The sequence below is a fragment of the Homo sapiens genome, chromosome 11, assembly GCF_000001405.40.
Source record: "Homo sapiens chromosome 11, GRCh38.p14 Primary Assembly".
Lineage (NCBI taxonomy): Eukaryota > Metazoa > Chordata > Mammalia > Primates > Hominidae > Homo > Homo sapiens.
The window spans coordinates 104,570,295-104,586,172 of NC_000011.10; the positions used below are offsets into that span (position 1 = coordinate 104,570,295).

The following is a 15,878-nucleotide window of genomic DNA, read 5'->3' on the forward strand; positions in this document are numbered from 1 at the left end:
ATGAAGAGTAGGAGGATAAGAGAAAGAAACAACTCTCATATTTCTAACTTGTGTGATCGCATGGATGACAGCATAGTTCACAATGCATGGAAAACATGAGGAAAAGCGGATTTGGCAACAAGTTTTTTAAAAAATAAAATCTTCCCAATTTTAACCTCTGGATGACTGGGTAGGATTATAAGCTTTCCTGTGCCCAGAGAAAGAATGTATTAGTCATATTTTCCTTTGTCTTCAGAGTAATTGAGATCATTCAGCAGATAAAGTGTGGTCAAAGAGTAACTGCAGACCTTTCAAAAGTGTCTGTGACTAGAGTATCAATAAGGATAGTGCTTTGATGGACAGACAGCCTCTTTCTCTCCAGTCATTGAATCTCAAATCTGTATCCTCCATGATTCCTTTGTCATAGAGATGCTAGTTCTTCAAATAATACATGCATTTTTCTTTGCCCATATGTGTGTATATGCATAGGTGTGCGTGCCTGCTAAATAACTGCACATGACTTTTAAAATCTTCTGCAAATGTTGAAGCAAAGAGTAGCAAGGGTGGACATGGGAAATGTGTCTATAAGGACCTCAATGAAGAGCTTAGAAATTGCCCATGATCAGACATCTGAGATTCTGAAATGGTCTCAGACCTGATTTATATATTTCTAGTGGATATATTTACTCATGATGTTCTCCTGCTCATGCTGTCACAGAATCTGTAATAATCACTTAGGTTTACCAGCAGTATAATGAGATCATCTTGACTTTGTTAAATATTTCTCATTTTTAACTGGATCTCATTATCTTAAGCTAATACAATACATTTGTTTTTTTCCCCTCAGTATTTATACCCATAAATAATATGAAGAATGTTAGCACAAACTTTCTTAGCAACAGTTTTCATAAGCTACCCAGTATGATCTTGTAAGGCTCTGACATTAAGCAGTCTCAGTTATTTTTACCTGGAGGATTTGTGTTTCTGAGTATCTCTCTTCCAGACCAGGGATTGGCAAACTATGGCCTATAGGCTATTTGGTTTTTTTTCTTTTTAATGTTTCATTGGAATACAACCATGCTCATTTTTTGTGTATTATTTATGGCTGTTTTAATGCTATTAATGGCAGAATTGAACAGTTTTTACAGAAACCAATTAGCCTGAAAAGCCTAAAATATTTACTAGCTCATCCTTTGTAGAAAAGATTTGCTGAACTCTGTTGTAAACTACAATTTGATAATAGGAGATCCTGATGATAACTAACATTCTCATTACATGAATATAAGATTGAAATGATGAAATACTCTCTCTTTTTAAAAATTTCGCTCCTTTGGATATATACCCAGAAGTGGAATTGCTGGATCATATGACAATTCTCTTTAGTATGTCAAAGAGATATCTGCATTTTTATGTTCTTTGAAGCACTAATCCCAATGACCAATATATGAAATCTACCCTAGTGTCCATCAATGGATGAATAGGTAAATAAATTATAGTCTATACACAATAGTATTAGAGATATACTATTCAGCCTGAAAAAAAGAAGAAAATTCTGTTCTTTTTGATAACATGGTGGACCATGCTAAGTGAAATAAGCCAAACACTCATATGTGGAATCTAAAACAATGGAATTCATGGAAGCAGAAAGTAGAATGGTGGTTACCAGAGGCTGGGGATGGGGGAAACGGGAAGATGTTGGTCAAAGGGTACAAAGTTTCTCTTAGATCTACTGAGCAATGAGTTAACTATAGTTAATAATAATGTGTATTTCAAAATTGCTAAGTATTGAAAATATTTTCCACCTTCCGTCAGCTTCTTTTCTTCATGCAATTCAAACTTTTCCATGATGTATACAACTTTCATTGAATTTGCTGCATCGTCTTCACAGACAGTGATATAAGTTGACTAACACCACCAGTATACATGTGTTTTAGAGGTGTTTATGATTTCTTTGGAAAAATTGAAAAATAAATAGGTCAGATTATGTTTCATCACTGTCCTGCTATTTTTCTCTACAATGGAAAATTATTTTGCCTTCATATCATTTTTGAGAAGAGCTAAAAATCCAAACATTTATGTTCAAGGGGCAACTCCTTTTTGCTATTCTCTGTGCTTTCTAATCTCAACTTATTTCTAGGGTAACAGAGATGTCACAATTATATCACCCTAACAAGCCAAATCTTTATCATATCGCTGTGTCTGGCTGCATGAGTCATAAGGTCATGACTCTGGACTGAAAGCACATTTAGTAATACAATATAAAATTTCTCATTCAGTACTTACCTTTACATAATCGTGGTTCTTGTTTAGGCAAAATGGGCTCTCTTTATAAGAGAAAAAAATAAAAGTTAAAATACAAATGCAAAGATTAAAAAAAAATCCTTTGCTAAAACAGAGGAGAGAGAAACTAGTAGTCAGAATCTGAAAACATGGGGAAGAAGTTTCACATAGAGTTCTGGGTTCAGTTTGAATCCCAGCTCTATGACTTACCAGCTATGTGACCTATCTAAGATCCATTCTTTACCCGTAATGTGGGGATAATAATAGACCCTATTTAATCTAGTTTTAGAGTAGATTATAAGAGTAATTGTACATGAGTCACTTAGCATAGAGCCTGACATTTAACAAGGGTTCGATAAATGTTAGCCCTAATAATAGTAATAATAATACCTCCTTGTAAGAGTTCCTCATCTACTCTCAGGAAATAAATTATGTGCCAGGAGACACTGGAGCAACATCTGTATAGACACATTTATCTAGTTGGGGGGCCGCATATTTAATGGTCTGTCAGAATGGATGGCTACACAAAAGGTTGACACACTGAGACCTGCCTAAACAGGAAGTGTGGGACAAACCTGACAGGCCTAGGGAAGACAGTCTCAGAAGTGATTAGCTCCACACTGTTTTTAATTACATGCACTCTCTTTAGTTAGAAAGATGATGTTATTAAGTAAGTAGAATTATTGTACTTAGAAAAAATTTCAAAAATGGCCACTGATTTATTTTAAAATAGGTGGATTACTGATAGTTTTATGAACATAAATTTAAAATATTTATTATATTTTATTGGAGATATTAATTTTAATAATAAATACATAAAGAAAAATCTTTTATATTTGAGTATTGCCATTGAATTGATATTTCTCAATTCTCAACAATGACTAAATAATGTAAATGTGTACATCTTCTCAAATAATTAAACAGTCACAGAAAAAAATAGTTTAAAAACCTCATCATCCCTGACTCCATAGAGCTTAGTCTATTGATGGGGAAATACTTCAGTTGGATAATCATAAAAACAAATAAAATATTTAAGTGTTTAGGAGTCATGTTACATGCTGCTGTCATCATGTGTAATAGTGGGATTTGGCCTTGTCATTCATTCAATAACTATTTTAGAGCTTTTGTTCCTTGCCAGACATTGTTCTAGCTGCTTGAAATACCATAGTGAATAAGGCAGACACAGTTTTACTCTTATGGAAATTTTAACTAGCAGATGCTCAGAAAGGATAGGAAATATGTTGGAGGTTATATATTTAGAAAGTAGGAGATCCAAAATTCACACTTAGATCAATCCAGTGCCAAAACCTATGTCATTAACCACTGTCATCTATTCTGTCTTCCCAATTTTATCTAAATGCAGTTTAGTGAGTATTTGTCTTTTGTCTGTTTATCTGACCAACAAATGAATATCCTTCTCATATTGGAACATTCCCCACATTTTATGTGAGTCTTAATGCTAGGCAGGGGCTGCCTCTCACCGTGGACACTGAAAAGCTAGATACTCCTTTTCTGAATCAACCATGAAGAAATGGGTTGGGCACAGTTAATAATTAATAAGCAAAATAAATAAATAAAAAACAAAGCTGGAGGCATCACGTTACCCAAATTGAAACTATACTACACAGCTACAGTAACCCAAACAGCATGACACTGGTACAAAAACAGACATATAAACCAATGGAACATAATAGAGAGCCCAGAAATAAGGCCACACACCTATGACCATCTGATCTTCAACTAAGCTGACAAAAACAAGCAGTGGGAAAAAGACTACCTATTCAAAAAATGGTGAGGGGATAACTGCCTGGCCATATGCAGAGGATTGAAGTTGGACTACTTCCTTATACCATATACAAAAATCAACTCAAGATGGATTAAAGACTTGAATGTAAAACCCCTAAGTGTAAAAACCCTGGAAGACAACCTAGGCACTACCATCCTGGACATAGAAACGAGCAGAGATTTCATGACATAGATAACAAAGGCAATTGCAACAAAGCAAAAATTGACAAATGGGATCTAATTAAACTAAAGAGCTTCTGCACAACAAAAGAAACTCTCAACAGAGTAAACAGACAAACTAAAACCTGAGAGAACATATTTGCAAACTATGCATCTGACAAAGTTCTAAAATTCAGCATCTATATGGAACTTAAACAAATTTACAAGGGAAAAAACAAACAACCTCATTAAAAAGTGTGCAAAGGCCATGAAAAGACACTTTTCAAAAGAAGACATACATGGAGCCAACAAGCATATGAAAGAAAGCTCAATATCACTGATCATTAGGGAAACGCAAATCAAACTACAAAGAGATACCATCTCACACGGGTCAGAATGGCTATAGAAAGTCAAGAAATAACTGATGCCAAGAAAAAGGAATGCTTATATACTGTTGGTGGGAGTGTAAATTAGTTCAACCATTGTGGAGAGCATTATGGTGATTCCTCAAAAAGCTAAAAGCAGAGCTACCATTCAATCAAGCAATCCCATTAGTCAGTATATATCCAGAGGAATATAAATCATTCTACCATAAAGACAAATACACAGAAATGTTCATTGCAGAACTATCCACAACATAAAAGACATTAAATCCACCTAAATACTCACCAGTGACAGATTCCATAAAGAAAATGTGGTAAATATACACTATGGAACACTATGCAGCCATAAAAAAGAATGAGATCATGTCTTCCATCCAGGAACATGGATGGAGCTGGAGGCCATTATCCTTGATGAACTAACACAGGAAGAGAAAACCAAATACTGCATATTCACAGTTATAGGTGGAAGATAAATGATAAGAACTCCTGAACACAAAGAAGGGAACAACACACACTGGGGTCTACTTGAGGGTAGAGGGTGGGAGGAGGGAGAGGAGTATAAAAAATAACCATTGGATATGAGGCTTAATACTTGGTTGATGAAATAATCTATACAACAAACCCCTCTGACACAAGTTTACTTATGTAACAAACCTGCACATGTACTCCCAAACCTAAAATAAAAGTTAACAAAAGAAGAAAATAAAATATTAGAGTCCACTGAAAAATAAGAACACATTAGGTTCCAGAATGTATTATTTTGATTCTATTATTATTATTAAATCCTTCACTTTTCTCACTGGATATGTTCAGTAAAGCAATACAATTTCGAAATATCAGAAAAATGGACTTCACTCACTGCTATGGACTGAATATTTGTGTCCCCCAAAATTCATGGGTTGAAACCTATTCCCCAAGGTGATGGTATTTGAAGGTGGGGCCTTTAGGAAGTGATCAATCGTGAGAGTGAAGTGCTTCTGAATGGGATCAGTGTCTTTATGAAAGAGACCCCAGGGAGCTCCCTCACCCCTTCTCCCCTCTGAGAACACAGAGAGAAGACAGCTATCTATGAACCAGGAAGCAGGTTCTCACCACATATCCAATCTGTTATTGCCTTGATCTTGGACTTCCCAGCCTCCAGAGCTGTGGGAAATAAATCTGCGTTGTTCATAACCCCCTCCTCTTCCACCCAAAAAAGAAAGAAATAAATGGATTGGGCAAATGGCTTCACCAATCCAGTAGGCTTACCCTGCATTCTAACTAGGTTTATATGTCTCAAAGGAAGGAATGTCTTTTCAAAGGAGTGGCAGAGAACACACCTGGGATTCAGAGCTTGCGGCCATGGCACTGCATCTCTGGCTTGTAAAATTCAACCATGGCAGCAGTGATGGTCTCAGTGGGCTGAATGTGTGCTGTGACTTTAACTCCCATTTTCATACTATTTTCTGAGTATAATTCTCTTACCTTCCTGTTGACTGCTTAAATCATCGAGATTTATTTTCTATTGCTTGCAACCAAAAGCCCCAGTTGGTTGTTTAGATTATTTCACCCCACACATTGACCTTTATTAATCAATAGCTTGATTGGATGATAATGGAATGAAGTTGCCATGTGATTTTGCGTAGTTCTGCAGAACTTCCTTCTTCATCTCCTTCGTTGTAGAGAAAGGTAAACTAGCAATAATTAGAATACTGACAATGCCTTGGGGCCCATTATTGGTGATATGGCAAAGATAATTCACATAGAATTTTTTTAGTCAAATTTAGCTTATTGAGAGATATGAATTGATTCAGCCAAAATGAATATCTACAAATATCTAGACTCTAATTGGTAGCATCTTAAAAAAAATGAAAAAACTGAATTCAGCAACACAACTGAGATATTATACTTTCTTTTTATTCTACTCCTGTTATTAGCCTTTATTTTCAATTTTTAATCTATATGATTTTAGATTTCTGAGTGAATGTATCAGTCAAAATATTAAGTGAGTAGAAGTATGTCAAAATCTTTAACTTTATGATCACCACGTAAGCAAATGTTTGCAATGTGTTCATTTTTCAAAAAATTACTCTGGTATTGTATACATACCAATCCAAAGAAACTGTCAGTCAAGAAATGTGTTGATCCCCAAATCAGTAATTTTAACCAGGGAAGTTTTCTGTAATTTTAACCAGGGAAGTTTTCTGTAATTTTAACTAGGGAAGTTGTCTTACCACCACTGCAGTTGTTTTTGATGACCAGTTAGTAAACTAATGTATGTCTTCCATGTAATTCATAAATAATTTCTGATTTTCTGAGCTTTCACTAATACAAATTTACTCAAATCTTTGTTGTTGTTGAAGTTTCTAAGAGTTTTATGTTTTCTCCAACAGAAGTTATGTTAAATGGATGTATATTTGGCTAAATATATATTTTCTGTGATATTTATCCATGATAGATATTATTTAAGGGTGTGTTAATTGGTATATTTAATCACAGGAATACATTAACCATTCAGAAAAGGAAAATGATTCAGCTGTCTACATTTTTTATTCTGTCCCCCTTGCAATTATTTCAAGGTTACTAAAGAGCTTGGCTTCAGGACATTTAGGCATATGAATTAATGTTAATCAGTGGTAACCTATTAATCACCCAGAGATTTATCATCTAGTATATCTGGACATTTAAAAATATCTGGATCTTTGCTCTTTGGTAAATGTATATCGAGCAATTTAAAAAAATTCCAAACAGATGTTTGTCTTTGAAGCCTATATTACTATAAATGGATGTCTTTAATGCTCATCAAGTTTTATTGAGAAGCAAAATAATTTTCATATCAATATCAAATACAAATACAGCATAAAGAAATAAAGATGTACATCAAAGTGCTAAATATAGAATATAATTAAATACCTATGTAAAACCATATGCCAATTTTCTACAAGTTGAATTACCAATAGATGTTTTATGTCAATTCATTTTTGCCTAATTTATTTAGATACTCTAATTACTTATTACAAAGCAGCTCAATTTCAGTTTCTGTATTTATTTCTTTTGATGTAGTTACATTTTTAACCTAGACTAGTATATCAAAATATGTTACATTATATTGAACCTTAATTCTGGGTAACTTTCTGTGTCTCAGTTAAATTTTTTTATAAGATAAAAGCTATTTGTACTAAATTTGTTTTAATGTTATACAAAAGAATTGGTGAAATCTTTTCAATCCAGGATTAGGGAGTGAGAACAAAAGAGTTCCAGGTAACTTCAACCTCTGGCCAATACGGATAGTGTTCTCACTTTGACCTTTGCTAGTGCCTGAATGCTTGTGTCCACCCAAATTTGTATATTAAAACCTAATCCCAAATGTGAGGGTCTTTAGAGGTGTAGCCTTTGGGAGGTGATTAGGTCACGAGGATGGAGCCCTCATGCATGGGATTAGTGCCCTTATAAAAGAGGTGTCAGAGTATCCCTGGCTTCCTCTGCTATGTGAGGTTACAGAGAGAAGATGGCCCTCTATGAACCAGGAAATGGGCACTTACCAGACACTGAATCTCCCAGTGCTTTGATCTTAGACTTCCCAGACTCCAGAAAAGTGAGAAATAAATTTCTGTTGTTTACAAGCTACCCTTGTAGTAGTTTGTTAAAGCAGTGCAAACAGACTAAGACAGCTTTCCTTTGATTAGGTTTTTCATTCTTTCTTATAAGATCTATAAATGAATGAAAGGCTCTTGTTTTCAGGTGCCATTGGAAGAGGTTTAGTTACATTCCCTTCCACAATAGGTGGAGCTAGTGACACCCTGAAGTCTTAATAATTATTACCTTTCCTTCCTTTTCTATTATAGACACTACCACTGCTATAATTTGATATTTGCATGCATTATTACGAATTGAAAATACCTACACATAGTTTATCACTTTGTATATTTAATAGTCTTACTATGTATTAGTTTTTATCTTCATTTTGTTTTATATATAAATAATATATAATATATTATATATAAATTATATATAATATATTTATATATAAAACATATATATATAAAACATATATGTATGTGTGTGTGTGTGTATATACATATATATACATATATTCCTGGGTTCAAGCAATTGTCATGCCTCAGCCTCCCTTGTAGCTGGGATTACAGGCATGTACCACCATGCCTGGCTAATTTTTTGGATTTTTTTAGTAGAGATGGAGTTTTACCATTTACCATGTTGGCCAATCTGGTCTCAAACTCTTGGCCTCATGTGATTCATTCACCTCGGCCTCCCAAAGTGTTGGGATTACAGGCATGATCCACCACACCTGGCCTATCTTCATTTTATGGATAAGAACAAGAAGAACCAAAGAATTTTAAGTAACACATAATGGCTCATTACATTACTCTGCAATGAAAAAGCTAGCTCCATAACCTCTGACCCCAAGATGAGTGATCTTTCTAGTACATGCTATCATCTCACTATTAGTTATGATGCTTATAAAAATCATTTATTGAGCCAAATCCCTTTATTTTATACCTATGATAAAACTCACATAAAATCCATGGTCATTTTCATTACACTAGGCCACCAGGTAATATGGATTTAAGTTTGATTGTGAAATATAAAAAAAGTTGCTTTCTAGATATTTGAAGAATGATAAGGGCAAGATGGAAGCATGTTTGTTGTATTATAAGTCAAGAATCCAATTTAATTGAAGTCTCTGAGATGAAAATAGACCCCTTACTACTATTTACTTGCAGCCTTTTCTTAAATTGCCTTCTTATGTGTGGAAGCCAATTTCAGCCTCTTTCTCAGTCATTTTAAGAGTACATACAGGAATATGGAATAACAATGCTATGCAGTTGAATTGCATTTTACAAGTTTTAAGTAGTTTGATCTGATAGAAGTCTGTCAAGTTGGGGGACCAGATTTTATAAATCTAATTTTAGAGATTAAAAACTGGAATTAAGGAAGGAAATAGCCCAAGTACACAAACATCCTGAGCAAACAGATTTGAGGTTAGGACTGTTTTCATGACAGTCTGGTCTGCATTTCTTCTATTCTACTGTCTCACTCTGCCCCAATGCTGCCAGTAAAGACCATCATAATGCTCCTGACAGGTGGCATATTGTGATAGCAGCATGGCAACAACAGCATTTTCTTCAGTTCTGTTTCAGAAAGCACATACTGTCTGCATACTTTTAGAAGGCTTTCCTCCATTCTTCATTGGACATTGCACCATCAAGCAATGAAAATTTCTTACGATAAAAACCCAAATTCTAATTCTAAGGTAATAAACAAAATAAATGCTTTCCAGGAGATAAATGTTCAGAAAAGAGAAACTGGTACTTTAAGGGACTGAGTGCTGTTTTGTGCCACTACTAAGATTTAACTCTTACCCTGTATCACCATTGGAATGTTCTAATTAGTATCGTGGAAAATGCCGTCATAACAGTTATCCCAATTTAGGACCAGGAGACAGAACACGTACCTTGAAGCAAAAATATGCAAGTTGGGAAAAATGCTGACACTGGCTATGTCTGCGCTCAAGAATAGTTTAACTGTTACTGAGTAAATTGCATGTATGAGTTGACAAGAAGTGATTTCAGTCACTTTTCTATGAGACAGATAATATGGGAAACAAAACAATTTTGTATCCTTAAAGGAAGAGATTTCATAAGAAAAGAAGGAAATTATAAGCTGTAAAGGAGAGCTCAAATTATATGTAACAACATGCTAATGAAAATGAATAGACATTGTGTTTCCAAAGAATGTTCAGAGACAAATGACATCTTCAAATTAAATTTGGATACTAAAAAGGGATGCTTGTTGAATTGCATGTTATATAAGTGTCAATTGTGTGTTAGATCATAAGCAAAATATTACTTAAAACAAGACAATTGGCTTGGATGTGTGATCATCTCTAAAACTCTGAAAGCTCAATGAATGTGACACATTGTATAACTAGGCAAGTGTTTCCTAATAATAATCATAGGCAGGTATCTGACTTTATACCCTTTTTTATCTGAAATATTTTACATATGCATGAACATTTATCCACATATTTAAAATTAAAGAGATAAAATGCTGTTAATAGTCATACTGGTTATCTGAATTTTTAAAAACAATACTAATTTTAAAAAAGAAACATCTGGCTTAGAAAATGACTATATTCAGCACTAGAAAAATTCTTGTAATCACGTTGTAGAAATTTTAAATTCTACTTCGGACATTTTAAATGTTGTACTTCAACGACATTTCACTGCCCAAGTAACTGTGTGTTCATGTTTCTTGGCTGGATATTCATGGTCTTCCATAACTTTACCCCAACCTATCTTCTTATCTAATTTCCCCTAAGTTTCCATCTCATATTCCCTGTTTTCTATTCATAATGAATTTTTCTTTTCCAAGTTTTTATTCATGCTTTCCCCACTGCCTAAATGCCTTGTCCCTATTCTGGGTGCCTACACTTGATCCTTCCTTTAATTCTCAATTCAAATGCTACCTCCTTCTTAAATTATTTTCTACTTCCAAGTAAGCATGGGTCACCCATTTAACCCTAATTACAGACATCTGCAGGAGGCTGCAGTAACAATAGCCTTCTGTGAACATATTTCCGTGTCTTACTGTGAAACAGAATAGGCAATGACTCTAGGAATTGGTGACTTACAAAGGAAGACATTTTGTTGTTGAATGAACATATTTTATCAGGCTGAAAACAACTATTCTGAAAGTGATTCTGTTTACTGGTAATTTTTTACATCTCAAGTAGCTCCGAGGTAAAAGTTTAAAGAGACAGTTTCTACATTTATATGTACAGCAGTTCATTTTAGAGAGATGCAGGTTGACATTACATTTGTATTAGATATATTTGTTTTGTTAATGATGACTAAATCCTTAGTTTTTTTTTTTCTGTAAAATATTTAAGTGTCTTGTGGTTGCCATGTCAAAGACCTGTATCAGATTTCAACATCTCAAAAATCTGATGATCCACAGAACATATTGTTCAGCTATATGAGACATCCATTCTAATTGTTTTTTTTTTGAAATCCATAGACTAACAATAAACTTTAAAACATAACTTCATTAAAATTAAAGGAAATATTTGATGTTTTCTTGGTTTGAGGATCCTAGGCATATATTCATTTATTCAACAAATACTGGTTGAACATTTTCTCTTTTCCTTAATATTGTGGAAACTCAGGGAGAATCTACTTTACTTGAAGAAATATCCATTTAAGATGATATATTTTTAAATAGGTATCTGACATTACCTCATGTAAGGTGATTTATAATCTTGTTAACACAAATAAAATTCTCCAAGCCTTGTGCTAATACTTGACCCAAAATAGTTTATTTTATCTCCTACTGAAACTTGCTTACCCACAAAATAAGGAGTGAAAGAAAATATTGCAGTTATCATTTTTTTCAATGAGCTTTTAGTGAGTACTTGCTAAATACTTATAATTACTTATAATAAATATTTTAATAATAATTACTTCTATGTTTTAGGACTGTTGTCCTCTGAGATACAAAGAAAAGTTATATAAAGGTCTATCCTCAAAAGCTTACAGTCTAGTGGAGAAAAATATTATCTAAAGTCAATATAATCCTTTACTGATTTTATATATATATATATTCTACATATATTACTTATTTGTTAGTAGTACTATTTTTTAGATAAGAAAATTGAGTTTTAAGAGTCAAGTTACTAGTCCAAAGTTATAGATTAATGCAATGGCAAAACCTATCTTTATACTGAAGTCTTATGACTATGAGTCAGAGGGACTACCTATTACAGATTTGACCTTCCATTAACGGGTAGTGAAAGCCCTAAGGAAATTAAAGTCTATCCTCTCTGATTCTTGAGTTTGGAAACTATTACAGCAACAATGACATCTTTATATTTGATAAGCAATTACTGTTTTCAAGGGTTCTCTTTATCTTTTCAATTTGATCGATTGCATGTTTCTTAGCTTTTCAGGTTGGAAAAAAGAATCAATGTGGTGCTCCTCTAAAAACTCTGTAAAACTGCAAGGCACTAGGTGCAAGCCCAGAATCAATTACAAAAGGGAGCCCAAAATCAGACAGGTACCTGGGAGATATTACTAATGAATGTATATTATCTTTTGTTATCTGAAATGGCTATGCCTAAGTGTTAACCAAACTTTCTGGTAGGTACAGATTTCAGTTTATTTTAATAGGTCTAAGTCCACTCAATCTTCCAGCACCAAAATTCCCATTGATTTTTCAAGGGCAATAACTAATGGTTCCAGTAAGAATGTTAAAGAAAATGCTTGTTTTGGAAACTTATGACTGATAGACAAGTAAAACTAATTCGAAGAAGACAAACTTTCCATACTATACCACAAAATATATATTAGAAATAAACTTGAGTCAATAGGGCTAACTAGCCTAAATTTAGAGAGTGACAGATTTCAGCTCACAAGAAGAAATTTTTCTACCAACTGTAACCCACCATGAATAGAACAAGCTGACTCTGAAGTAGTGAGGTTCTCATGTCTAGATGTTCCAATAAAAGCTATGTGAAAATGTTTTAGTTTCAGAGAGGGTCCATATGTATGGTAGGATATTGAAATAGATGATCTTGAATTTTCCTTCCATCCCACTTTTCTAACACGATTCCTAGTTTGACTCTTGGCTCTTTCCCCTTCCTTAAATAAACTGGTGATTTTGAGAAGTGGGCATATGGAGCACGCAAAAGAAAGATAAAAAGAAAGAAAAAGATAGAGGGAGAAGGAAGAAGGAAAGAGAGCAGTTGAGGAAGAAAGTAGGAAGGTTGTATGAGGAGAGACAGAAAATTAGGAAAGGGGATACATAGTAGGTAGTCTAGGAAGTCTAGCTTTTCTATAGGAGAAATGTGCCAGTACACAAGACTAACATCCGCTAAATGGGTCATAGATGTGTGTAAACAGCATACAAACATCCAGGCCAGACAGATTTCCATGAAGTTAGGGTATAAGATAGGTCTTCCATGATGCTGTTACAGGTAGTTAGGCATGAGCAGGGCAGGAGAGGGCTGTCCCCCACCCACTAGAAATGTCTGGCAATGATTCGGCAATTACTGCATTGCCCCTCTAAAAGTGATAAATTGGCAGCCGGCTCCAGGCAGAGGCGATTTCCTGATGTTCCACATCTGTTTAACATTAAAGTGTTAACTAAATGCAGATCCCAGGGAGAAAGCAACTCCCTGGGTATGCACATTAAGAAACAAAAATGGCGAAGTACAATCTTACGGGTACACTCCAACAGAAAAAGGAAAAAAGCCTCAGATGGGCATGTGTACAACTTCCTAAACACACTGAGCGTGCTCACTTCCCAAGGGTAAGGAGGGGTCTGCGCATGCGGCGGCACACCCTACGGGAAGAATCATAGGAAAGAGGGGAGCTCATAAAGTCATAGGATCAAGCCCTTTCTTGTTGCTGTCTTTTCTCCCTTGGAACTTCAGGTTCCTGCTTGGTCTCTTCCAAGCAAATTTTCCTTTCTTTCCTTTTCTAAAGCCTTTTTAAATAAACTTCCACTCTTGCTCTGAAACTTGCCTTGGTCTCTTATTCTGCTTTATGCCCTCCAGTCGAATTATTTCTTCTGGGGAGGCAAGGACTGAATTTGCTATAGATACACCACAGGTAACTCAGGGTAACTCGGATCTCTTCCTCTGGTAACAATGCCAGGGTGAGCACTGACATTCAGCCTGGCCCCTTACACATTTATTCCTGCCTCCATGGCCCTCAACAGAGCACTGTGGAGCAGCCATGCCCCCATAAATATGGATTGTTTATGAATGCAGCTGAAGGCTTTTGTACAGAGTCTGTGGCTTCTTCCTCACCTACCCTGCTTAACTCTCCAAGCTTTTAACATTGTCTCTCATCCTCCTGTTTTCTTTTGTCTTTTACTTTTTTTAATGCAGTCATGATTTCCTCCTGATTCTGACTTTCTTTTCAGGGCAATTCTATTTCTCTATTTTGGCATTATCTGGAGAGTGTTCTCTAACTTGCACCCCCTCCTTATTTGATTTGTCCCTTTCAACCCTATTCGTGAGCAATACATGGTCTACTGATCCATCCTTATTACTCTCCAAAATATAAACCATTTCTGTTTTTCACAGGCTTAGATAAATTTGCTGATCTCTGCCTAGGGTCATTCAATTCTGATGGAGATATATACCAGATGCCCCCAAAACTTTCATGGGGCAACGAAGATGAAGAAAATCCATCATTAAGCAATTAAACATTGAAAAAAAACCACTTCTGTTCCTCTTGCAGTAAAGAATAGTATATTAATTTATAAGGCAGTGGGTCTGTGGGAACTATGAAAAAAATAAAATAACATATCTAATTGCTAAACTTTCTGGTACAATAATTGTATTCATCTTTTATTTCAAGTCATTAAAAATAGTTTATGCTAAATGTCATGCTGTGAGAATGGGCTCTAGAATGAATCTTATGCCTGCACAGGTGGATATAAAGGCTCCCCTTTTCATATCACAGTCAAACTAGGAATTACACTAGCAATTTTCCTCCAGTTACTACAGTTTTGCTTGTGGCTTTTCCTTCTAACCTTTCTTCATTGGGCAATAATAGCTCAGCCACTCTCTTCAGAGGTCATCCAATAAGAAAAAATTGCTCTAGTATGTCATTAGAACAAGAGGACAAAATGTGAGCATTTTAATATTTCTCACAATATCTCTGCATTTTGGCATTTTGATAACAAGACACACAATGAGCAAATAGATCAAGAGTAGTAAGATATTAAATTGGAAGCAAATGCTATTACAGTTTATGTCTTTAAAATCTGAGTTGGAAGTTTTGTTTCCATCTATGAGGGAGTAGATGTATCAAAGAAATCCTTGGAGAAAGTAAGTGTAAAACCTGGATAGAAAACAGAAACAAAGCAAAGCAGCTATTTGGATCCCACAGAAAACAATCACGACAGCCAAGAATTGTGGGGACTAGACCTATAGAAGAGGAAATTGCATTGAGCTCAACCCCAAATTTGCCTCTATAATTTCTCCCTATTTATTTACAGTTTCTCAGTGATAATGATGGAGCCTGAAGAGAAAGTAATAGCCTTGAGTTGTGACCAATATCATTAGATAGAGAGAACAAAATCAGACTTCAGGAACTGGGGCAACCACGATTTAAGGGAAAAAGGTACGGGGGAGAGGACATTCAGAGGAGTAGCATCAAATATTACATGCAATTTTCCTTGGAGCATTTGCCAACTTGTAAAATGCACACGCTTGGCGTGAGGCACTGTGAAGTACAGGCAAAGGATTTGTCCAGTTCACAGTGCTGGGAAAGCAATTTT

General features: G+C 34.9%; 1 long non-coding RNA gene across 1 annotated transcript in view; it reads right to left on the minus strand.

The window, feature by feature from the left end:
- The window catches only part of LINC02552 (long intergenic non-protein coding RNA 2552), a 40,814-nt gene that overhangs the window by 1,806 nt on the left and 23,130 nt on the right, over nucleotides 1–15,878 (minus strand). Inside the window, exon 2 of the long non-coding RNA NR_120585.1 lies at nucleotides 2,263–2,303. This is a non-coding gene — a long non-coding RNA (long intergenic non-protein coding RNA 2552). The remainder of the gene's footprint in view (nucleotides 1–2,262; nucleotides 2,304–15,878) is intronic.